The sequence below is a fragment of the Homo sapiens genome, chromosome 6 (assembly GCF_000001405.40).
Source record: "Homo sapiens chromosome 6, GRCh38.p14 Primary Assembly".
NCBI classification, from domain to species: Eukaryota; Metazoa; Chordata; class Mammalia; order Primates; family Hominidae; genus Homo; species Homo sapiens.
Window position 1 is genome coordinate 39103578 of NC_000006.12, and position 25633 is coordinate 39129210.

The 25633-nt window shown below is 43.1% G+C and overlaps 1 protein-coding gene and 1 pseudogene across 2 annotated transcripts, besides 1 other annotated feature; one reads left to right on the top strand and one right to left on the bottom strand.

The window, feature by feature from the left end:
* Positions 1 to 485: 485 nt before the first annotated feature.
* SAYSD1 (SAYSVFN motif domain containing 1) lies at positions 486 to 11609 on the bottom strand. Of its 2 annotated transcripts, NM_001304793.2 has the most exons (3): positions 11306 to 11609; positions 5737 to 10143; positions 486 to 2199 (listed from the first exon to the last, which is right to left on the bottom strand). In NM_001304793.2, the coding sequence occupies exons 2-3, from the start codon at positions 5740 to 5742 to the stop codon at positions 1855 to 1857; spliced, it is 351 nt and encodes a 116-aa protein (NP_001291722.1). In that variant the 5' UTR covers positions 5743 to 10143; positions 11306 to 11609; the 3' UTR covers positions 486 to 1854. The 2 variants fall into 2 exon arrangements, with proteins under 2 accessions (NP_001291722.1, NP_060792.1); NM_018322.3 differs by lacking the exon at positions 5737 to 10143.
* On the top strand, positions 6747 to 9342 carry ANKRD18EP (ankyrin repeat domain 18E, pseudogene; annotated as a pseudogene).
* Positions 11203 to 11492: an enhancer, noted in NCBI's record as "active region_24488". NCBI's record gives its function as "activates an Ori minimal core promoter by ATAC-STARR-seq in GM12878 lymphoblastoid cells {active_cell/tissue: GM12878}" and the evidence as "EXISTENCE:reporter gene assay evidence [ECO:0000049][PMID:35858748]".
* Positions 11610 to 25633: the final 14024 nt, after the last annotated feature.

Sequence of the window (25633 nt, forward strand, 5' to 3'; positions counted from 1 at the left end):
TTCTCCCTGCCAGGCCATTAATTGATTCACACACTATTTTTCCTAGAAGTTAATGCCATCATTACATGCACCTTTGGTAAGAGGTTAGAAGTGACAAATTGTTCACAGAAAATCTCATGCAAGATGGGTTTGAGGCAATCTAGACTCCACCTCAAAAACAGCTGCATTTCAAAAATCACTACTGAGGTCCACCCATAGGTCAAGTCTCATGCGTGCTTAAGTCTTTACCCCACTGGGATTACTAATTGGATCAAACCTAATTCAGAGTTACAGGCATTTTGTTTTAGGGGAAAGTCTGAATTATATGTTTTTAAAATACAAATTAGTTCTTTCCTACAGCAATGCTTACTGCCCTGAGCACTGCAGTAAAACTTAAGATTAGGGAATTACTCCCTTGTATGGGGCTTTTATGAAACAGAAAAGCCCAAGGAAAGTATCAAGAAAATTAAGAAAGCCTTAAGAAAATAAATCAGTCAACAAAATTGTATCTTAAATACAATCAAAACTTCATGTTTAATAGGGATTCATCTGTTTCCCATACTTTTTACATGTTCAGTTCAGACAGAACTCATGGAAGAAAAGACTTTTCTGTGAGATAGAACAGACCATCTGCTTGACCGGATGGCTCTGAGGGACAGCCAAACTCCCAATGGCCAAAGGGCTGTGAGGAAGGGCAACACATATCAGAAGAATTTTCAGCAAGGGCTGAAACACAGTAAGGTTAGCCACAAAATGGAATGAGAGAAGCCCTAACCCAATGGGAGTTTGCCTAATTTTAATGAACCCAAACTCTAACATTGTACTGGAAAAGCAGCATTAAAATCCAGCCTGATTATCACAATTTACAGAATTTCTCACCAGAGGCCCACAGGTGAAAAAGCTGCTTACTCTAAAGCCCTTAGAACCGTATTGTGAACTGCGCATGCGAGGGATCTAGGTTGCGTGCTCCTTATGAGACTCTAATGCCTGATGATCTGAGGTGGAAGTTTCATCCTCCACCACCACCCCGTCCATGGAAAAACTGTGTTCCACAAAACTGGTCCCTGGTGCCAAAAAGGTTAGGGACTGCTGCTTTAGAATATAAGAAACAACTCAAGCAGCCAACGGGTCTGGAGTTAACACTTCCAGCCCTCCCCTTTGTACACACTCAACACTTCTTGCTGAACTGGCCGTTAATAACCACTTGTGAAATCCCTCCCCACACCTGCACTTAGGCGTTTGTCTCTTCCTACCTTCCTTTACTGAGTAGTGGCAAAATAATAGGAGAGTGGAAGATGGTGATGGGCAATGAAGAGGGACCTATTTCTGAAGAGGAGATGTTTTAAAGATATTTTATTTTTCAATACCAGTAATGACTGAAAATTAAAGAATTAAAGCAGGAAGCAAAACAAAAACAAACAAGAAACCCAAAACTTGCAACCTAAACTCTCCGGGAAAAAAAAAATTGCTATAAATGTTAAAAGACTTAAAGAGAACATTGACAATGCAGCCCTGATGTACCTAATCATACTTCAAACTGCTGGATGTTTTAAGCTGAGAATCTCCCCAGTGCCTTTCTAGTGCTCTAAAATCATCTCCCAAACAGATGAGAAATGAAACAAACAGGTCTCCCTTCTTGAGTACATAATTTTTATAAATTGCGTCGGACCCACAGTGAATGTATTTTAGAGAGTTTCACCAAAACTATCAAAGATCAAATGGCAGCAAAAGATCAGGGAAAGAAGGTAGAAAAACTATGCAGTCACAGAGCTAACCCGCAAGCTGCCCTTAGTCCTATACACCTGAAATCAAATCCATAGCCAATGGTGAGGAAGACCACATCAGAGGTTAGCTGCATGACAGCACAGCTGGGTCCTATCTCCCTGCCAGGGGTCTCAACTGTAACTCGCGCTCCAACTGCTCTGCAGTCAGGGTGCCCTGGATGGCTTCACAGCCTGGATTGAACACAGAGTAGGCGCTCTTCTCTCCCTCTTTCTTCTCTTCAGGGCCTCGTGTCCCGACGTACATCCAATAGAACAAGGACAGGACAAAATATGCCAGGCCAAATTCCAGTTCCACAAACAGTCCCAGCAGGACCAACCAGAGAAGAACCTTCAAGAAGGTGATATTGGTCAGGAAAGACTGGTCCCAGCACGACGGCAGAGGAATGGCTGTGTTCCATGGTGTCTCTGATGTGCTGCCCTGGGGCTGAGCCGCTTCCTAGGATACACAAACAAACAAAAGAAAGAATAAAGGGTAATGGAGCTGAGATGATCAAAACTAATCTGAAAAGGCAGTTTTCATTGCTCTGAGAAGGCTGCTGGCTCATTGATTTCTATTCTTTCATGCAACTCTCTAAAACAATCATCTCCAAAGAACCTATGTGCTCTACTCCAACTGAATCAAAACTGATCAGCACTTAGTGAGATGTGACCTAATAAAAGCCCTACGTATTCAGACAGATTCTTATTCGTGGGAGTCATTTCTTCAGATTAGTCTGCTGCTAAGAAGAGCTAATTTGTGCCCCATACAGAAACTCCTGAATAACTGATAATGCAACAGTCATGACAAATGCTTCAAATACAGAGTCAATATACCTTTGTTGATTGGATTAGATGACCTAAAATATTACAAGTGACATGATTCTAAAATAGAGACAGGAAACAAAAATCCTTTTTACGTTTAAAAAAAAAAATCAGCCAGGTGCACACCTGTAATCCCAGCACTTTGGGAGGCTGAGGCAGACAGATCACTTGAGCTCAGGAGTTTGAGACCAGCCTGGCCAACATGGTGGAACCTCATCTCTACTAAAAATACGAAAATTAGCCAGCATGGTGGCACACGACTGTAATCCCAGCTACTCAGGAGGCCAAGGCATGAGAATCGCTCAAACCTGGGAGGCGGAGGCTGCAGTGAGCTGAGATTGCACCACCACACTCTAGCTTGGGCAACAGACCAAGACACTGTCTCAAAAACAAACAAAAACCACTGTTACAGCCATTACTGGGCCCCCTTACCTTCCCATCCCGTGATTAACCTACACAGGTCATTGTCACTCACCCAAGGCCCAGCCAATGTCTCCTAACTAGACTCCCTGCCTCCTATCTCTTCCCTCCCCAAGCCATCCTATGTACAACTGCTAAATGAATTTTCTTAAAGACCTATTACCCTCCTGTTCACAAACCTTCAAAAACTTTCACTGTCTACAGGATAAAATCCAAACTCCTTGGGCTGGAACCCAAGACCCTCAATTTGTTCAACAGATTGAAATGCCAGTAGACAGGCCCCTGTGCCAGATGCTAATGGCAGACACAGGTATTTAGACAGCTCTGTGTCCAGTCCACTGTTTTCGGAACTCTTTTGAACATGACCTACAATAAGGAATACATTTTAGACTGTAATCCAGAATACATATATGCAACAAAGTTTCACAAGTCAACACTTACCCTCCCTGAGACATTCTCTTGTATTTCCTATTCTACTTTAAAAACATTTTTAATAGGGAACAAGATCTTCTATATTAATTTCACCATCCACTAATGGGTCACAGTGGTCTAGGAAATTCCATGACAACACGATCCACAATCTTTTGTTCCATAAATGACCCTTCTTCTCCAGCTTAACTGGTCTTATTACCCAAAGATATTCTCAGTCCTCATCTCAAGCCTAGAATTCCGTCCACTTCCTCTTTCTTCCTTAACTCTTTGCCTTCCTTCCAGGCAAGCACCGTTCATGAACTGTCAGCCCTGACCTCCCTGGGCATCAGGGAGGGTGCCCCCTCTGCCTCCCCCAGAACTAGCTCTCCCGTTCATTAAGCACCAAACTATTCAGCACTACAGTGTCTCTCTTTTACTATAGGTCATGTCATGTATGATGCCAGATTGTTTAAGTACCAGGAAGCCACGTGTCTCCAGATCCAAACATGGCATCCCATACTTAGGTTCTCAATTCATAGCAGAACTTTCAGTTCATCTCTTCAGTTACATCCCCTATTCTTCTTCACGTGCATATTTAAAAGGGGATCACAAATACTGGTCATCTGATTTATGATGTTTCAGAAGTTCTATTTTGTCAGAACCTTCTTTTTTAGCATCAACATTGTAATTATTATCTTTTCAGTTAGATTAGAAAGTCTGATTGGAGAGGCCCTTATATTATCAGCCACATCCCTGACCCCTGATACTCATTAAAGAAAGAAATGTCTGTTTCAGATTTGACATGCATGCACAGTATGCGTTCTGGCCCAAGAAGAATGCATCTGGGCAGTGTTCTGGGCAAAGGGGAGAGTAGCATGAGATGACGGGGCTAAGGAGGGAGGGCATGAGGGTGGGAGCCAGATAAAGTAGGGCCAGGCAGGTTGCAGTGAAGATTCTGGAAATGGGAAACAGCTGAAGGTCTAAGCAGGGAACTAACCAAAAGCATGAAATCCCTGGTGCTAAAAAGGTTGGGGAGGAGGCCTAGCAAGAGAGAGCCAGACATTGACCAGGGTGGTGACAGCAGTCAGATGGAAATAGTGGACTGATGGACACAAAATACATTCTGAATATACATGCTGAGATTCACAATAAACTAAATTTATCATTTAGGGAGTATAAAAAGAAGAATGTTCCTATGTCACCATTTACTGAGAGCCTTCCAATGTATGAACTCTGGTAATCCAGGAAGCAGGCATTATTATTCCCAACTTACTGATAAGAAAACACTGAGAGGTTAAGTAATTTCCCTAAAGCCATAAAACTAGTGATAGGCAGAGATGAGGTCAGTCTCGGATCCTAGGATGGTCTCCTCCAAAATATATTTTATTTAATTAGGGGCCTTTATGGGGGGTGGCAGGAGAAAGGTTAGGGAGCTAGAGGTAGATGGGTGTGGGGGTGGGGGGGTAAACAAACTGACGAAGGGAACAAACAAGAGGAGAGATACGGACATTCTTCTGCCTCATTTGGAACTTGTCGGAGTACCAGTTCCCTTCTGCTGTAAAACCTGGGTGAAGAAGTGTTTGTGACTGTTACATCACACACAGGCATGGCCCAAGGAAGGCACTGCCATTCCTCAAATATCAAGCTGCTTCTTACCTTAGGGCCTCTGCACTTGTGGTTCCCTCTGAGAGGAATGCTCCCTTCCCCTCATATCACTTGGTTGACCCCTCCTACTACAAACGGCAAAAATGTCACCGTATGTGCCCTTGGCTTAGTCCCCGTTTTTGCCAGGGTGGTTCCTTCTTGTTAAATGTCTCCTCCTTAGTGAGTTCTCCCTGCTCAGCTGATTTAAAATAGTACTCTGCTCCCCTCACCCCTAATTCACTATCACAGTCTACTGGTTTTATCTTTTTTCTTTCATAGCATTTATCTGGTTTTGTTTATTGTCCTCCTTTCCCTGCTGCCCCAAGCTCAAATGCAAGTTGTACAAGAGTAGGACTTGTGTGTCTTAATTACACTGTCTCCCAGGATTTAGAACAAAAGCTGGAACACAGCGGGCACATGACAAGATTTTTGTTGAATGAATGAATGATAGTGAGGGAAAGGAAGAAATTCAAGATGACTACTAGATTTTGCGGGGGTGAGGCACAGCTGTGCTTAGCCAGGCGACTCCAAAGGAGAGCCTTTGAGCAGAAGGCCAGCCTGAGCCAAGGCCTGGAGGTCAGGAGTGGTGGATGGGTATGGGAAATGGGTTCTGGGGCAGGGTGGTGTGCTGGGGGCTTGCCTGGGATATGGCTGGAGAGGGAAGCAGGAGGTTTCTGTAGGAATTTTTAAAAGTTACCAGCATTTTTGTCCTAATGTGGAAGAAGCTCGTCACAGAATTATTTCAGGAAACTGCTTTTCTCCAAGCAAAATCTGGTAGTGGGAAGGAGGATGTAGATACTTCCTCATCAATGACTGCTGAAAAGATGCAGCGGCATTGTCAGTCACAGCGAGGCCCGGGTCGGGGCAGAGGCATCATTGCAGTCAGAGCTTGGCCCAAATGGAGGCCGCAGTGGCTTTGTTGCTCCAAATGACATGGTTTAGTTATTTTGATGGCCAAAGAGTATTCTTTGTGCATATACATTACAGTTTCTTGATCCCTTCATCTGTAGATGGACAGGAGATAAAGTTTTTGGAATCTCCATGCCTGAGATTAAAAGGTGTGGGACTTCCTCTACCAGGCTCATTTCCTTGGACCTAATATCCTCTGGGTTTCTTGGGTTTCTCCACATGGCTGTGGATGACAGGATTTCCCAAAGCTTTATGGCTGAAGCATATTCCATAGTGTATCTGTATGGTGGTTTCTTTATCCCTTCAGCTGTGGGTGGACAGGACAGGTCATTTACCATGATGTCCTCTAGGTTCAACAGTGTGGCTGCAAATGATGTAATTTCATTACATTTTTCTGGATGAAGAGTATTCCATTTGTGTATATATACTACAGTTTCTTTATCCCTTCATCTGCGGATGAACAGGTTTCTCCACATGGCTGCAAATGACAGGATTTCATCCACTTCTGTCGTGGAAGGGTATTCCATTCTGGATATATATTTCAGTTTTGTCATCCCTTCATCAAGGGATGAACAGGTTCAACTGTGTGGCTCCAGGTGATATGATTTCAGTATATGTGCACAGCTGAAGGGTATTCCATTGTGAATGAATACTACAGTTTCTGTATCCCTTCATCTGTGGATGAACAGGTCTCTCTCCACGTTGCTGGAAGTGGGGTGATGTCCTAAAGTTTGATGGCTGAAGAGTATTCCATTGTGCAAATATCCTGGAGTTTCTGTATTCCTTCATCTGTGGATGAACACGACTGCTTTACATTTGGCCTGTGCCAATGGCCATGTGGAAGTGGTCACTCTCCAGGTGAACTGAAAGTGCCAGACTGACATTGGTGACAAATGAAACAGGATGCCTTTGATGAAGGCTGTACATTGCCAAGAAGAGATTTGTGTCATCATTCTGCTAGAATGTGGCACCAACCCAGATCTTATGGATGTCTATAGCAACAATGCACTACACTATGCTGTGTATAATGAGAATACACTACTGGCAGAAAAACTGCCCTCACACCATGTGAATACTGAAGTGCTGAACAAGGATACTGAAGTGCTGAACAAGGATGCAAACACACCACTTTTACTTGCTATAGTTTGCAAAACACAGCAAAAGGTGGAATTTTAGTGAAGAAACAAGCAAATGTACATGCTGTTGATAGGTTGAAAAGAACAGCTCTCATGCCTGTTGTACATTATGGCTTGTCAGGTATAGTTAGCATTCTTCTTCAACAAAATATTGTCTTTACTCAAGAGTATGTATGAACAGACTGCAGATTATGCTATTTCTGGTGGTCTGACAAGCACTCACAACAAATTTTGCAACATTAAAAAAAAAAGATACTTGAAAATGGTCTTCAAAATGACAACCCAGAAGAAGCATCCAAGAAGAATGCAAGTTTGAAAACAGGAGGAGCAAGTGCAAAAGATTCTGGGAGTTCTGAAGCATCTGCATTCAGTATTTAAAAAAAAACTGTGTGTTGACTCATGGCCTAAACCAGATGATGAAGACTTGACTTTTACTACCAAGCAGTGTATCCCTGAGAGTGTTTCAAAGTCTTTACTTGGACCTTCATATAAAAAAGGAAAAAATATATAGTAAATGGAAAGGGAGAAGGGCCTCCTGAAAAACATCCTTCCCTAAAGCCTACCATGGAAATGAAAGATTCTGTTGTGAAGAAAGCAATAGAAAGGAAGAACGAACAAACATCCAAAGCAGAACAAGAAGTACAAGTGACATCAGAGGAAGAACAGGAAAAGCTTGAAAGTGAAAATAAACAGCCACAGGTTGAAGAAGCTAGAAAGAAGCACGAAAGTTAAAAAAAAAAAGTATCAAAAAAACGTATATGATAGTACATCTGCTGACGATGATGATAAATTAATTCAACAAAGAAAGAGTGGAAAAACTTACCATCAGCGATTTCCTAGGAAGGAGAACAAAGAGTATGCTAGGCCTGCAAAGAAAATGTCAAATGAAAAGAAAAAGGTCAAAAAGCAAACTCATTTAGAGATGAACCTGATGACTTAACTCGGCCCTCTGAAACAGCTTCAGAGGATCATGAGAAACCTTACCCTCATTGTAAGAAGTTTATGATGCTCATTAAGCAATATGGAATGGATTGTAATGATTCTCGTATCCTAATGGAAGTCCAGAATGCATTTCTTTCATGTGAAAAGTCACTGGACCTTAAAAAAAATTATCTGTGAACAACTTACACTAGACAATAAGAAATATGAAAACTGAGTTTAGTGTACTGAAGGAGCTATCCAAAACACAAGAAACGAAGTCACAGTTCAATATCAAAAAGTAGAATGGAAACAGGAACTCTACAGTTTGCAGCTTAGAAGAAGATGAGAAGAAATGCTAATATGTTATATGAAAAAATTAGGGAAGAGTTAGAAAGGAAAGTGGAGCAACATAGGAAAGAAGTTGAAGTAAAAGAACAGCTTAAACTGACTATCGGATCACTAGAAATAGAATTGAAGGCTTGAAGAAATACTTTAAGAAAAAAAAAGATCTGATGCATGAAAATTGCTTGTTGAAGAGAGATATTGCCTTTATTGTGTATGTAAGTATACACAATAAAAAATAGGAACCTCGAAAGGGAAAAAGGACATTGAAATTGTTAAAGAAATGAATGATGACCTTCAAGAGACTATAAAACTGAATGGAAAAACATTAACAAAAACAGTATCCCAGTATGGTCAACAGCTTAACGACCTCAAAACTGAGAATACAATGCTCAAGTCTAAACTGGAGAAGGAAAATCAAAACAAGGAAAGACTGGAAGCTGAAGTTGAGTCATTCCATGCTAGACTGGCTGCTGCTATAAGTGAGTGTGATCAAAGTGTGAAAACAAAAAGAGACCTAGAACTTGCTTTACAGAGAGCACAAGACGTTTCTTTACAAGAAAGAAAATGAGTTCTGATATTTCTGAACTAAAAGATAATAATGAGTTTTTAACTGAGCAACTTTCCGAAGCTCGAATTCAATACCCTAAAAAGTAAACTCCATGACACAAGAAATTCTCTCAGAGAAAAGGTTTTGGTTTTATAAAGTGTACAAAAGGACCTAAGCCAAGTAAATCCTTTGGAAAGTGGGACTACGTAGAGGAGAGAATATCTCAACTACAACATGAAAATCTGTTGCTTCAACAACTAGATGGTGCTCATAAGAAAGGGGATAATGAACAAAAGGTAATTAATATCCAAGGATGCTGTCTTGAGAGTGAAAAGGAAGGTCTTCTGCTAGAAGGGAAAAATAAGGAATTAATCAATGAATGCAATCATTTAAAAGACTGTTTCAGTATGAAAAAGAGAAAGCAGAAGGAGAAGTAAGTATCAAAAAAGATAAATATTTTCAAACTTCCAGAAGGAAAATTTAAAATATTTGGCTACGGCTACATGTTGAACCTAGTTGAATATAAAAATTAATAGACAAAAAATGTGTTTACCATACTGTATAATTCCATTTACATGAAACATCCGGAAAAGACAAATGTATAGATAGAAAGCAGACTGACATTTGTGCGGGGCTGGGGTTGGAAATGGGTAGTAACTGCTAATGTGCAAGAGGGGTCTTCTTGGAGTGATAGAGACGTTCTAAAGTTGCAGTGATGGTTGCATGACTCAATAAATTTACTAAAAATCTTTGAACTGTATGTTAAAAGAGATAAATTCTGTAGTATGTAAACCTTATTTCAATAAAGCTGTTTCAATTAAAAAAACAAAAATTAAAAATAATTTAAAAAAATAGAATGCTAAAGAAATCTCTGACAGGCCACAGTGTGCCATCAAAATTGTCTGACATGAATTGTAAATTAGACTTTTTCTTTTCTAAACTAGAGGCAGAATCTGAAGAAAAAAAATTAAATGAGAATTTTCACACCAGAGCAAACCCAGAAATGATAAGTCAATGAAAATGAGCTTAAGGCAGAGTCCCTTATGGAAAAACAGAGCAATTAACAAGAAACTGGAGGTCCAGCATTTCCTCTCATCCTTTTGTCTGGCAATCAGCGTTTGGGTTCTCAATAATGGAAGTTTTTCTCTGAATTCAGTTTCTCTGGGTCCACCTCAATGATCTCATTCCTTTGGAAATGAGACATACAGTCAAAAGTTCATTGCATGGGTTAGACATTGTTTTTTAACTGCAGAGAGAAAAAGAATAAGGGAAATGGTTTCTAAAATCTTAAGCAAGTGTTGTACTTAGAAAGTTCTAGTCAACAATAAAATTATCCAAAGACAATTAACACAAACTGCACACAAGGAAATGGATTGTCTGAACTCTGCTGCGCTCTTTTCACCTTTCTGCAAGTCAGCTGGAATCCTGTATATCACTGAGAATATCAAATCAAAATTGAGTAATAGGTTCAGTAATTTTTAAAAATTCCCTCAAATCAAATGTTGTGCAATAATAGATGAACTTACAGGAAATAATTTTAAGGTGAGCAAGGTACACTTTTCTTCCAGTATATTTTCATTTTAAAAGGAATTTTTTAGTTCTTATTGCACTTATGAGGAACAAAGCACTGGGCACAAATTGTTACAAAGCACTCATCCCTTGATATGTTTTGTCTTGTATTTCCACATAGACATTTCAACCTCACTGCAAGCCACCTTACCATTTTACTGAGTTAAAACTAAATGAAAACACAAAAGGATGCAAATTAAATTCATCTGCAAAACAAGAGATTACCAAAACAATTAAATGTGAAAAGGTTATCATACTAAATCACTTTTTTTTGTTTGTGTCTTGAACATTCACTATGGAACTGGAATAAGCTTCTGCCACTACCGGCAGTTACAGCTACCACACTTTGGTAAATTCTGTATTCAAACGCATTTCTAAGTCACAGGCTATCTGGGCTACTAGCTGCATGTGCCCCAGGTGCGAATCAAATGAAGTTTTAATTACTGCTACTTGTGATCGGTATCCAATTAGACCTTTTACCCTCCTCCATTAGCAGAGGGCTGTGGCTCAACTTGGTTGTGGAGAGGTTTCCCAATGCCACAGGGCGTCACGATAACTCAATTCGGAGTGAATAATTTAAGAGCAGAGGTGCTTTCTCCCAGGACCCTCGACTCTCGCTGGAATCAGGACCTGCGTGGGTCGCGGGCTGGAAAGAAAATGTCAAAACTGGTAACAGTGCTGACACGTGTGGCCGGAGATGAGCGGTCCGGCCCTCGATCAGGATGGGGGGCCAGTAGCCCCGCCTCCGGCAGCTAGGGCCACACCCCCGGCAGCTAGGGCCGCGCCCTCGACTGTGGCTCCGAGGCCAGGTCCTAGGGCCGAAGTTTCCATCGTCTCACCTGAACTAGGCCGGGCTGGGCCCGGGCACTCGCGGGCCTAGGTTTCCATACCAGGAACCGCTTTAGCCAGCCTGGGGCTGCCTTTAGAGTCGCTGCTGCTTCCGCCTTCTCTCCTGGGGTTTGTGCGCCCTGACTGGCAGCAGGGGGTTGGGCCGCCAGACCCGCCCGTTTCCGCGCCGCCCGAAACTCAGCTAACCGCTGTTCCATGGCGCGCGCCTCGCGTCCGTTGGCCGATAAGGGAGCGCGCGCCCGCAGGCCGCACAGCAGTTGCCTCCGCTCGGCCCGCGCCGGCCGCCGTGCGCCTGCGTGGCAGAAGCCCCTGCTGAGCATGCGCACTGGTGTGACCCGCGTCTCCTCCGTTTGTGAAGTCTGGCGGGTCGCGTGTATACTCAGCCGTTCTCTCTTCACAGGCACGTGGACACAGTGTCACCTCCTCAAGCCAAGTCTAAAGCACAGGGCTGCCCCATTGCCCTCTCCCAAAGGCCGCTCTGCCTTGCTGCATCTCACTTAAGGGCTCGAGGCCCCACTGATCCAGCGTCCTGTATTCGGGATCTCTGTTGCTGGGCCCCAATGAACAGCGCCACAGTGAGAAGATGGTTCCAGGGGTTAGGAGAGGCCCGTGATCTCTACGACATTCCAGCGTCAGAGGAATAACAGGCTACATCTTACCCTTTTTCTCTTATCAAGGAAAGGGTATGCCAATCTTAGTACCTGGAGGGTGACTTTCTCACTGCTCACAAAGCAGGCTGTGCAGCTCCATCATTGGTCTTGCCACGTTGGGAAATTATCTCGTTTTGTGTCTAGATACGTCAGAACCTTAAAAAAACCAACAACAAAAACTTTTATTGGGGTGCAACATAAAATACACATCTTAAGAATATGACTCAGTAGATTTGCTCTTATGTATGCACCTGTGTAACTACCACCCAGATGGAGAGAAAGAACATTTCTGTACTCTGGGAGTTTCCTTGTGCCCTCTCCCAATCAGTACCCTCCCAAAAGGACACAGTTCAGGTTAGGGGCTGTTTTATACGTTCTTAAAGCTGTAAGCATCTAGCTAAGTGTCACTTACATAATTAAGACTCAAATATTTGTTGGATCTGGCTGAGGGTGACTCGAGAAATTAGACAAATTAGAACAGAGTCATCCATTCATTTAACAGACGTTTACCTAGGGCCTGCTCTGTCTAAAGTCACAGGCACTGGGGATGCTGGGATGAAAGGAAAAAACAAACAAAAACCTGTTTTCTTAGAGCTTACACTCCAAATGGAAATACAGACAATAAACAAATGTGTATCTACATATTTCATGTCATATCAGGTACTGATAAGTGCTGTGAAGAAAAGTGAAGCAAAGTAGGCAATGGTGGAGGTATTAGAGAAGACCTCCCTGAAGGTTTGTCATTTGGGCATAGACTTAAATGAGTGAGGTATGTAGATATCTGAACAGGAGTGTTTCAGTCAGAGGAACAAGTGCAAAGGTCCCGAGGCCTCAAATAGCACGCTTGACTTGTTCACAGAACATCAGGGAGGCTGTTATGACTGGATTGGAAGGAGGGAGAGGGAGGCAGGGAGGGAGGGAGGGAAGGAGGGAAGGAGGGAGAGAGGGGGAGAGAGGGAGGGAGGGAGGGAGGAAAGAGTGACAGAAAATAAAGATGCCAGGGGCAAGATCGTGCATGTAAGGCCCTGTAGGCCATGGTGAAGACTAAGTGTGGTGGGAAGCAGTTAGTGGATTTTGAGCAGGAGATGATATGATATGACATATTTTTAAAGGATTACACTGGCTGATGGAGGTGGGACCCTGGAAGATTGCAAGAATAGAAGAAGGGAAACTAGTTAGGAATAAATATGGTAGAATGAGAAACTGTAGTAGTTTGAGCTAGAGTGGTAGTGATGGAGGTCACGAGAATTGGTCAGATTCTGAATGTATTTTGAAGACCTGAGCCAACATGGTGTGAGACGGATTGGATGTGGAATGTGAGGAAAAAAGGTATCAAGGATGACAGGGCCAGCCATCGTGGCTCACGCCTATAATCCCAGCACTTTGGGAGGCCAAGGCAGGGGGATCGCTTGAACCTAGGAGTTCAAGACCAGCCTGGGGAACATAGCAAGACCTCATCGCTATTAAAAAAAAAAAAAAAAAAAAAGGATGACAGGTTTCTTCCATTACTACCCCACTCCTCCTGCCCCCCCATATACATACACACATGCCCTGAGCAACCAGGCAAATGATGCTGGGGCCCTCTATTGAAATGAGGGCACACTGGGAGGAGAGAATTACAGAATAAACACTGGAAGTTTTGTTTTGGACATACAAAGAACTTGGGATGCCTATTGGATATCCAAAAAATAGGCAGTTAGATAGTGAAAATGATTTGAGGGGAAAGTCAGGACCGGAGGCACACACTGGGAGTCATCAGCATGTGTATATTTAAAGCTGTAAGACTAGATAAGATCAAACAGTGAGTGTGGATAAGAAGAGATTTGAGGGCTGAGCCCTGAGTGGATTAGAGATGGTTTGTAAGAGAAAAGAATGGGATTATTACACCACAATGTCCTCTCTTTGAGAAACCACAAGAGGAAATTTCTTGCCCATTTTGGTGTCAGGAGTATGTCTGCTTCTCTTGAGAGATGGGATTCTTTAACCGATTTTGTCTCCCACTTGATAATGACTCTAAGACCTTAGGCCCGCATCTTGCAGGTGTATAGAATTAAGGCATACAATTTGTGGGCGGTTGCAGTCAGGGTCCCTGACAGGAAACGTGGCACCTTCCAAAGGGTGAAGTAAGAAGGGCTTAGTGAAGGAGTAAGTTACAAAGGTGTGGCAGGATGAAGGAAGCCAGCAAGGGATGGTTCACAGGAAGTGCTACCTGTCTCTAGGCCCAAAGCATCAGGAGGACAGAGCAGTTATCAGAACCCAGTGAGCCCTGTAGCTATAGGAGAAGCAAGGAGACACAGGAGCCCTTCAGGGAGCATAGAACAGGTAGAGAAGGGTGGAAAGAGGATCAGAAGAGGCAAACAGAACATCCAGGCCAGAGCTAATGTGGTTCCTGCTCTGTCTTGCTTTGGAAACCTTATTTTCTTTTTGCTTTGTTTTATTTATTATGAATTTACTTTTACTTGGTGCTTTGTAAGCCTCTTTAAATCCTTTTTGGAAGAGGTTAAAAGAATAGAAAAAAGAAAAGATGAAAGAGACCATCATGAAGAACAACTCCTGCCAAGCCAACTTTATTTCCTCTTTGGACGGGATTATGAGACTAGTAAATAAGAAGGGTCCCCAAAATGTGCTTAATGTGTGAATTTCATTAATTTTTATTATGAAATATTTTGTAAATGCCACATTTTACATATATATAATGTATATGCCATATACATAACATATATAATGTGTATGTGTCATACATATAAGTTATAAATAAAATACCCACATGATATGGTTTGGATCTGTGTCCCTGCCCAAATTTCATGTCAAATTGTAATCCCCAGTGTGGAGGTGCGGCCTGGTGAGATTGGATCATGAGTTTTTTTCTAATGGTTTAGCACCATCCTCCTAGTGCTGTCTTGTGATAGAGTTCTCACTAGATCTGGTTGTGTAAAAGTGTGTGGCATGGCTGGGTGCAGTGTCTCACGCCTGTAATCCCAGCACTTTGGGAGGCCAAGGCAGGTGGATCACTTGAGACAAGGGGTTTGAGACCAGCCTGGCCAACATGGTGAAACCTTGTCTCTACTAAAAACATAAAAATTAGCTGGGCATGGTGGCACACGCCTGTAATCCTAGCTACTCGGGAGACTGAGGCATGAGAATTGGGTGAACCCAGGAGGTGGAGGTTGCCGTGAGGTGAGATCGTGCCACTACACTCCAGCCCGGGCAACAGAGCGAGACCCTGTCTTGGAAAAAAAAAAAATTGTGGCACTTTCCTGCCCCTTCTCTCTTCCTCCTGCTCCAGCCATGTAAGACCTGCATGCTTTCCCTTCACCTTCTGCCATGATTATAAGTTTCCTGAGGCCTCCCCAGCTATGCTTCCTATATAGCCTGCAGAACTGTGAACCAATTAAACCTCTTTATAAATTACCCAGTCTCAGGTGTTTCTTCATAGCAATGCAAGAATGCACTAATACAGGCCTTGTTATAGAATTGAGTCATTGGCCCGATTCTATATTCCTATCTGTATCCACGCCGTAAAAGGCAGAGTAGACTTCCCCATTCCTTGACTGTAAACTCAGCCATGCAGATTGCTTTGGCCAAATGGGATGATGGCAGAAACTACGTGAGCAGGAACTTGAAGTGTGTTTGTCCTGTTAAATAAATTCTCTTAATATTCCACATTTCCATGAGATGAACTTGCAACAGCTAGCCAGCTAATCCAAGAATAATGAAAGACATCTAGGTTGTGGTCACCTGGCTGACCCAGAGACTTGCAGTTTAAAGCTGAGCTGCCCAACTGAGCACAGCCTCAAATAGCTAACCCCCAGCTTACCCTAAAATGTATGAAAACAAATGCTTATTTTACATAACTGAAATTTTGCAGTTGCATGTTACACAGCAAATGCTAACCAATACATACATACCCAATACCCAAGAAGAACATTTTAAGTTCCCTGTGTCCCTGTATGCTCATTCTTGATTCCCCACTCCTTTAATCTATTAGTGTGGTGGGGTATAGTAATCGATTTTCTGTTGTTAAATCATCCTCCATTCATGGAATAAATAAAACTCAAATCACTTTATAAAACATAAAACTCAAAGCTAAATTCAGTTTGAGAATTTTCTAGAAATTTTACATCTTTTGTTCATTAGTGAGATTTTCCTATAATTTTCTTTTCATGTGCTGTCCTCAATTTTAGATAGATTTTGCTAGCCTTATGAAATAAGCTGAAGTGTGCCTCCATCTTCCACACCCCCCACCCAAATTTTCTAGAACAGTTTGAACAAAATAGGAATTAACTGTTTCTTTAATATTTTGGTCGGACTTAGTAGTAAAACCATCTGGACCTGGTGTTTCCTTGTATCAGGTAAATAAATGTAATCTACAATTAACTGGATTCATAGCTGGTCAATTCACCCTTACCCAAAAAGGGTCAAGAAATGGATCAACATTGCTCTGTCCTGTTTGATATTTTTAGGAGTGTCTTGGGTGAAAATATGAGAGAGAATTTATCGTTTATTCAGGTGACAAAAATTTGGTAGAGAAGATCTGCAGTTATGCCTTTAGGGTAAAAAATAAACCAAAATGAATTTGATTCAATTTATTACGATTAAAGCATTGTGGGGATGCTCAGAGGGAACTGTGCTTCCTTCTAGATTTGCATTTATGTTTTTATATTATTGTTTTTGTTTCTTAATCATTGGCTTGGGAGCAATTTGTTTCAATAGGACTTGGAGCCTTTCCCTGACCACAGACTGGGTAGGAGGAGGGTTATATGGGGAATGTTTCAGCTGCTACTATGAATCCCATTTTCAAAGTGAGAGAGGATATAGTTTTTTTTTTTTTGAGACAGTCTCACTCTGTCACCCAGGTTGGAGTACAGCGGCACGATCTCAGCTCACTGCAACCTCCGCTTCTCGGGTTCAAGCGATTCTCGTGTCTCAGCCTCCCAAGTAGCTGGGACTACAGGCACGAGCCGCCACACCTGGCTAATTTTTTATATTTTTTGTAGAGATGGGGTTTTGCCATGTTGGCCAGGCTGGTCTTGAACTCCTCACCTCAGGTGATCTGCCTTCCTCAGCCTCCCAAAGTGCTGGGATTACAGGCATGAGCCACTGCACCCAGCCCAAGGATGTATTCTTGATACCCCCATGTATTCATGCTCTCTTTGGTCCTATCCTTGCAGGTACCACATACCAAGTTCTGAGCACTATGCTTTATATGACAAACCATATAAAGCAGAGGGGGGTAGCCTGGATAATGATGTGTCTAGAGCAGGATTTCTCAGCCTTGGCACTTTTGATGTTTTGGGCCAGAAAATCGTTGTGGGGGTTGTCCTGTGTCTCGTAGGATTCTTAGCAGCATCCTGGCCACCACCCACTAGTTGCCGGTAGCTTCTCCCTTAGATGTAACAACCAAAAATGTCTCTAGATAATGCCAAATGCCTCCTAAGAGGCAAGTTTGCCCCTGGTTGAGAACCACTGGTCTAAAGACCACATTGTAGTAAGAATGGTAAAGGCAGTGAGTGATTTGGGCCAGAGAGGGAGATTCACGGTGAAAACATACCAGTTTGTTTTAGAAACTCTGTTAGAAGTGCTGTTGTGGCCCTCTGGGCGACTATCTTCCAGTCTTCCAACAGGCTAGACAGGAAATTCGCCAGGCTGCTAATCTTCTCTTGCCTACTCCAGATTCCCAGCCATATGAAGACACCCTAGCTGGACGATCAGTTCTTGTTAAGAATCTGACCCCTCAAACTCTACAACCTCGATGGACCAGACCCTCCTTAGTCATCCATAGTACCCCAATTGCAGTCTGCCTGCAGGACCCTCCCCATTGGGTTCACTGTTCCAGAATAAAACTGTGTCCATTGGACAGCCAACCTGATTTCTCCTCTTCCTCCTGGAAGTCACAGGTACTCTCCCCTACTTCCCTTAAACTCACTCGAATTTCTGAAGAACGTAATAACCCTCATGAGCCTAATACATCCCTTCATTCTATTAAGTCTATTCATCCTTACCCTCCTTTTTGCAACAGGGCTTTACGCAGTCACCCCCACTACTTGGACTGCGCCCCAAAAACTTGTCATCCCTACTATCTTCTGTCTAGTCATACTCCTATTCACCATTCTCAACTGCTTATAAATGCCCTGCTCTTGTTTACACTGCCAGTTTACACTGTTTCTCCAAGCCATCACAGCTGATATCTCCTGGTGCTATCCCCAAACTGCCACTCTTAACTCCCTCTTAGAGTGGATAGATGATCTTTGCTGGCAGGGCACCCTCCAATACTTTCACCCTGATAAAGTCCTATTCCTTAGTTTTATACTCTTATTCTCGTTCCCATTCTTATGCTACCCTCTACCTCTCCCCAGCTATCTCCACCATACTATCAATCTCAGTCACTCTTTCCTAGCCGTTTCTAGTCCTTTTTTAACAAACAATTGCTGGCTTTGCATTTCTCTTTCCTCCAGGATCGCCAAGGCCTCGACTTACTCACTGCTAAAAAAGGAGACTCTGTATATTTTTAAATGAAGAGTGTTGTTTTTACCTAAATCAATCTGGCCTGGTATATGACAACATAAAAAACTCAAGGATAGAGCCCAAAAACTAGCCAACCAAGCAAATAATTATGCTGAACCCCCTTGGGCACTCTCTAATTGGATGTCCTGGGTCCTCCCAATTCTTAGTCCTTTAATACCTGTTTTTCTCCTTCTCTTATTCGGACCTTGTGTCTTCCGCTTAGTTTCTCAATTCATACAAAACCGCATACAGGCCATCACCAATAATTCTATATAACAAATGCTCCTTCTAACAACCCCACAATATCACCCCTTACCCCAAAATCTTGCTTCAGTTTAATCTCTCCCACTCTAGGTTCCCATGCCGCCCCTAATCCCGCTTGAAGCAGCCCTGAGAAACATCGCCCATTATCCCCCCAAAATTTTCACCACCTCAACACTTCACCACCATTTTGTTTTGTTTTTCTTATTAATGTAAGAAGACAGGAATGTCAGGCCTCTGAGCCCAAGCTAAGCCATCATATCCCCTATGACCTGCACGTATACATCCAGATGGCCCGAAGCAACTGAAGATCCACAAAAGAAGTGAAAATAGCCTTAACTGATAACATTCCACCATTGTGATTTGTTCCTGCCCCACCCTGATAGACATATTCTCCCCCGCCCTTAAGGTACTTTGTAATATTCTCCCCTCCCCTCCCCCCACTCTTAAGAAGGTACTTTGTACACCTATCCCAAACCTGCAAGAACTAAATGATAATCCCACCACCCTTTGCTGACTCCTTTTTCGGACTCAGCCCGCCTGCATCCAGGTGAAATAAACAGCCTTGTTGCGCACGCACACACACATACACAAAAGTGCTGTTGTGGTGAAGGAGAATCATTCTGTGGGACTCCAAGGGGTAGAACTTAGTTGGAAATTACAAGATGACAACTGTGGAATCTTAAAAAAAAAAAAAAAAAATTGGCATCTCAGTTATTTCAGCAATAGAATGTGCTGCCTTGCAGAGGCAATAAGTTCCCTGACACTAGCAGTATTCAAGCAGGGACTGACTGTCTACTTGTCAGGGTACTGTAGAGGGAAATTGGAGAGCTTCATATTTCAATCCAAGTAGACTAAACTAGGAGGAAAGAATGGAAGACTTTGGGGCATTTGAGTCTAGAAGTCTTAGTTGTAGCTATGATGAGTAGCATAAGGTACCGGTATGGCTACCCATATCCCCTTAATCTCACTGTTGCTGTACATGATGATGGCTTTTTTCCCCCACTTTTTTTTTTCTTTTTAGGGACAGGGTCTTGCTCTGTTGCCCAGACCAGAGTGCCCTGGCGATTATAATTCACTGCAGTCTTGAACTCCTGGGCTCAAGCAATCCTCTGTCTGAACCTCTCAAGTAGCTGGGACTACAGGTGTGCATCACCATGCCTGGCTATTTTTTTTTTTTCTTGTAGAGACTAGTTTTTGCTATGTTGTCCGGGCTGGTCTGGAACTGTTAGCCTCAAGCTATCTTCCCACCTTGGCTCCCAGAGTGCTGGGATTACAGCCACTATGTAAGCCATTGCACCCAGCCCTGATGGCTTCTACAAGCACCTGGGGGCTTTCTCTGGCTGCAGGAGTGTGTTCAACTAGTACATGAGGCAAATTAGTAGTGGTGGGAGACTATTCCTCTCCAACCCTGAAAAAGTCTTCAACCAATTTTAGATGGGAGTTGGTGGATAAATACCCTAGCTCCCTCACTCCTTATGGGGGATGATTCTGATGTGTGTTCCCCAGAGTCTCCCAAGAGTCTTCGGTAGGAATGAGCCTCAGTTGCCCACAGCTCATTAACACACCCTATATCACCTTTCTTCCCTTTCCTGTCTCACTTCCCTGCTGCCCTATCAGTGCTCCCTAGAATCACTTTCCCAGTAAACTTCTTACATTTGAATCTTTAGCTCAGGATTTTCTACCAAGAGAATCTAAGAGCTATGCAAGACCTAAGCCTATGGACTTGCCTGAGAAAAGGGAAGTAAACTAGAGGGATGGTTGGTATTTCACATTTACAAAACCCCTACCTTGATGTTTGAAGCAAGCAAAACAGGACTTTAGACTGTCACCAAAGAAGATATTTGGAAATGGTAATAAAGAAGTTAAGAGAGAGGATGGGAAGCAGAGGGCTATAGTGCTTCAACTGAAGCAGCCTGCTTTGCACTGCTGCTGCTGGACTGCTGCTGGCAAGGTTTTTTAGCTCTCACTTTATCTTGAACTCTGCAGAGGTCAGAGTCCTAGAATAACTGATTCAGTCATTCTATGAGTCTGTCCTCCAAGGAATTTAGAGACCATTTAGTCAGCAAATATTGATGGAACACCTGTTATATGCCAGGCCCTGGACCAGGCTTTGAGGATGCAGACATGAATAAAATACAGTCCTACTGTTAGGAATTCAAGGTATAGTTAGAGAGACAGACTCACTGATAGACAGTTATAACACAGAGGTCTGGGGAACAGAGGAGGGGCACTAACTCAAGCTGGGAGTTCTTCAGATTCAAATATGGGGAAACTGAGGCCCAGAGAGGGAAAGCTGATGAGATGATATAATTCATGGGCATTGCTATAGACATTAAATATTTCTGGTGATAGTTTGATGCTTTATAATTATCTTTTGCATGAAAGGTAATGGTTCATGACCCTTCTGCCCCCACTTACTCTTGGCTTTGTGGTTACAACTGCTTTTCCTGACACTTATTGCTGGCTTGAACTTTGCCTTTTTGTAACCCCCCCGTGACTGGGATCTTGTGTTCTGAAAGAGCTCAACAGTCTCTACTATTTGTCCCCATCAGTCTGCCCAATCCTATTACCTGAAGCTTCTCCATTTTCCTCCTCTACATCTCAACTCCCTGTAAATTCCAAGATCTTAGGTTTTGACAATTTCCTAACCACCTGACTTGCCTTATGTCCAAGTTCCATTGTGCTTAGCTCTGATACTCAGAGAAATGCCTCCTGTGGCCTGCAGAACAGATGACCTAAAGCTCACAGGCTTGCAACAAAAATGATCTATATGTAAATCCCATCCCAAAACTCTCCCCCAAACTAACTGAAAGTAGTTGGAGAAGAATCTCTTTGCAGGTTGACAATGCACCTGAAGAAAACCATAGGAATTGTGTGTTTTATAAGAGCCTGCTTCCTCATGATTTTGTATGGGAATAAAGTCAGAAGGAAGGCAAGCTTTTGTCCTATAAAGTCCTTGGAAGAAATGGGCCATTTCACTAAAATACATGTACATACATCCAGAGAAGTATATTTCCTGACTCGAAAAATATCGCCTGCTTAGCCACCTCCTTGGAAGCTCCTGCTTCAGCCTTACATTTCTCTTCAACCATTGACCTTCTAGAGTCTTGACTAAACACCAGGGTTTAGGGCCCAAATATATATATATACACACACATATATATATATTTTAACCTTGAGAACCAGTTGAGTCATTCACTATTAACAACAAATTGGGCTCCTAATAATATCTGGCCTTTGTGGAGTGATTAATGTGTGCCAGACACTGTGCTGACCACTTGAAAATTATTATGTACTTTAATTTTCTCAACAACTCTTCAGGAAGGCATGTGAGCAGATTCCATAGTTTGATGTCACACAGCAAGCAACTAGCAGGACCAGGTTTTGAACCCAGGGAGTCTGACTCCAGAGCAGAGCCCAGGAACCCACTATCCTGTCTATTCTATGTGCAGATCAGTTTCAAGGTTCTGGGAAGACAAACAGGTATAAGTTGTGGTCCTCGAGTTCCAGAAAAACTTATGAAATCATGGAGAAGATGAAACAAGAATGCAAAATGAGAAATAATGCCAGAAACTATTGCTAAGTGTCTTATCAGTGGGACAGACAGAGCAGGAACTTACCAGGTAGAGGAAGAGATCAGTGAGGCAGGGGAGGTCTAAACGACTCCACGGAGAAGCATGGTATTTGGCCTTGAAAGATTGAAAGGACTTAGGTAAGCTGAGAGGAAGAAGTCAACCAAGATAAGAGGACTTTGCACACATGGGTTCAAGTCCCAGCTCTGACGTTATCTACACAATCATAGGAAAGTCACTCATTCTCCTTATTGTTCTATTTCCTTTTTGTAAAGAGAGAATCTCAGGGAAGTGGTATGGAGTAAGAGAGAAAGTACAAATTTGGAACCTGGCTTCAGAGAGGTGGGGAGGGAGGAGTTAATGATTTGGTGAGGGGGGTTTACAAAGTTCTAGTTCTTGACCTAAATAGTGGTTCCATGAGTAAAAATCAACATCCAGGCTAGGCGCGGTGGCTGACGCCTGTAATCCCAGCACTTTGGGAGGCTAAGGTGGGCAGATAACCTGAGGTCAGGAGTTCAAGACAGCCTGGCAAACATGGTGAAACCCCATCTCCACTAAAAATACAAAAATTAGCCAGGTGTGGTGGTGCGTGCCTGTAATCCCAGCTACTCGGGAGGCTGAGGCAGGAGAATCGCTTGAACCTGGGAGACAGAGGTGGCAGTGAGCTGAGATCATGCCACTGCACTCCAGCCTGGGTGACAGAGTAAGACTCTGTCTCAAAAACAAACAAACAAACAAACAAACAAGCAAACAAACAAACAAAAAAACAGGCCAGGCACGGCGGCTCATGCCTGTAATCCCAGCACTTTGGGAGGCCAAGGCAGGCAGATCACCTGAGGTCAGGAGTTCGAGACCAGCCTGGCCAACATGGCAAAACCCCGTCTCTACTAAAAATACAAAAATTAGCTGGTTGTGGTGGGGGGTGCACCTGTAATCCCAGCTACTCAGGAGGCTGAGGCAGGAGAATTGCTTGAACCTGGGAGGCGGAGGTTGCAGTGAGCTGAGATCATACCACTGCACTCCAGCCTGGGCAACAAGAGTGAGACTCCATCTCAAAACAAAAACAAAACAACAACAACAACAACAACCACCACCAAAAACCAACATCCATAAGTGATAACCCATCAAACAGTAAAAGTAAGTACTTAAGTAGCTTCTAATTTTTATTTGTCTGTTTCTTTATTTATAAATGGGGATGATACCTCACAAGAAGACTGATAGAATGAGGTGACCTGATGGGGAGTACCTAGCAGTACACAGGAAGCTTAAAAGGTATGAAACCGGCATAGTCCAAGCTCAGTAGATGACCAAAGTCCTGGGAAGACACAGCGGGAGGAAAAGAAGATCCTCCTATCCCAAAGGAATTGGAATGCATATTGAGAATTGGTGCCTTAATAGGCTTTTAAATTAGGGAAGACACTATTCATCTGAGCTAGTTGAAATTGTTTCCATATTAAAAAAAAAACAACTGATGGGATGGCTTCCTCGCCTGCTTTCTCCCCTGTCTCCCATCACTCTTTTGGGATTATTTGAACCAAAATAAACCTCTTTTTCCAATTATCTTAATAGGGCTTGGGTTAAATATACGCAGTCATTGATATAACTTTGAAGGGGTATTGAGAAGCCTGTCAGCCAGGCTCCCACAGTCTCCACAGTCTATAGGAGACACAGGGATTTCTGTCTACCTCAGAAGAAATCCAGCTGGTCAGGACAATGGACTAAGCCCCTCTGTGAATCTGAGTTCTTCATTAGGAAGCAAATAGTAGGGGGAACTAGATAGCACTTATCTTTGGCTTCAGGCTCCTTCCTCACCCAGAGCTGCTAAAGACATGGAAGGCTCTGTGGTGAGGGATTCCATGGTGGAGGGCCCCATGGTGGAGGATTCCATGGTTGGGGGTTCTATGGTAGACATTTCCATGGTGGAGTGTTCTGTAGTGAGGGGTTACATGTGGTGGGGGGAGTCTCTGATTGGAACCTTCATCATGCCACTACACCTTTCCTTTTCCCACACAAACCCCACTCCCAAGCCCCAGCCTCATTACTTCCCACTGACCACTAATACCCCACCCTTTAGCAATGCTAAACTACAGTTTCTCAAACATCCCAACTTGTTTCCCTTCCTCACATGCCAAGTGCCACTCATCTCACATACTTGGCTTCTACATTTCCTTCTTCAGGAAGCTCCTCAGGCCTTGTTCCTGGGCCTGGCTTTGGTTCTTTCAGATATAATCTCCCAACACGAAGTGCATCCTCTATTGCAACCCTTATCAGCTGTATTACAATGGTCGGTTTACTAGTTGATAGGATATTGTTTCATGTTTCTGAATAGAGACCAAAAATAATAATGAACAAAATAGAAATGTGTGTCTTCCCAGCAGGCATCACATGAGAGTGTTATGGGGCCATGACTCAGGCCCATTCACTCTTGTTGCTCTGCCTCCCTAGGGGGTTGACAACATGGTGCAATTTGGCTCCAAGCTACACCAGAATTCCAACCTGTCCTAATTCCAAAGCCAGCCATCCACAAGCTATGCTGCCTGTGTTAGTGAAGTGTAGCTCATTGCAGATTAGGGAGGAAGATGCGAAGAAAATTAGGAAAGTTCAAGGGATATTGGGAGACACTTGAGTGCCCAGTGGGGGTTGGTAGGAGATGCAATCATAAAGGTCGGTTCACTGTGCAGGACTCGAATGTCATAAATACATTTGATAATGACAGTGCCCTTGTCTTAATCCATTTGTTTTGTTTTAAAGGAACACTTGAGGCTGTTTAATTTATAAAGAAAAGAGGTTTATTTGGCACATGATTCTGTTGGCTGGAAGACTATGCACCTGGTGAAAGCCTCAGCTGCTTCCACTCATGGTGGAAGGTGAAGGGGATTCAACATGTGCAGAGACCACACAGTGAGAGAGGAAGCAAGAGAGAGGAAGGGAGGTGCCAGGCTCTTTTTAACAACCAATCTTGTGGGAACTAATATAGTGAGAGCTCACTCACTGCCCCCACTTCAGGGAGGGAATTAATGTATTTGTGAGGGAGCCAGCCCCATGACCCAACACCTCCCACTAGGCCTCACTTCCCAACACTGTAACACTGGGGATGAAATTTCAACATGAGATTTGGAGGGGTCAAATGTCCAAACAATAGCAGGTCTTGATGGTCAGACAGTGTCATCTCTCAGGCATGCACTCCAAAATCACTGCCTCTGAAGTGAGAATCAGCTCCAAGTGCCTCTGAAGACTTTTCCTAAATCTTTCTTACATCATATTGGAGAGATGTGGGTCAGATCTCTGCAAAGGGAAGTGAGTAAAGAAGCTGATTCTCAACAAATCA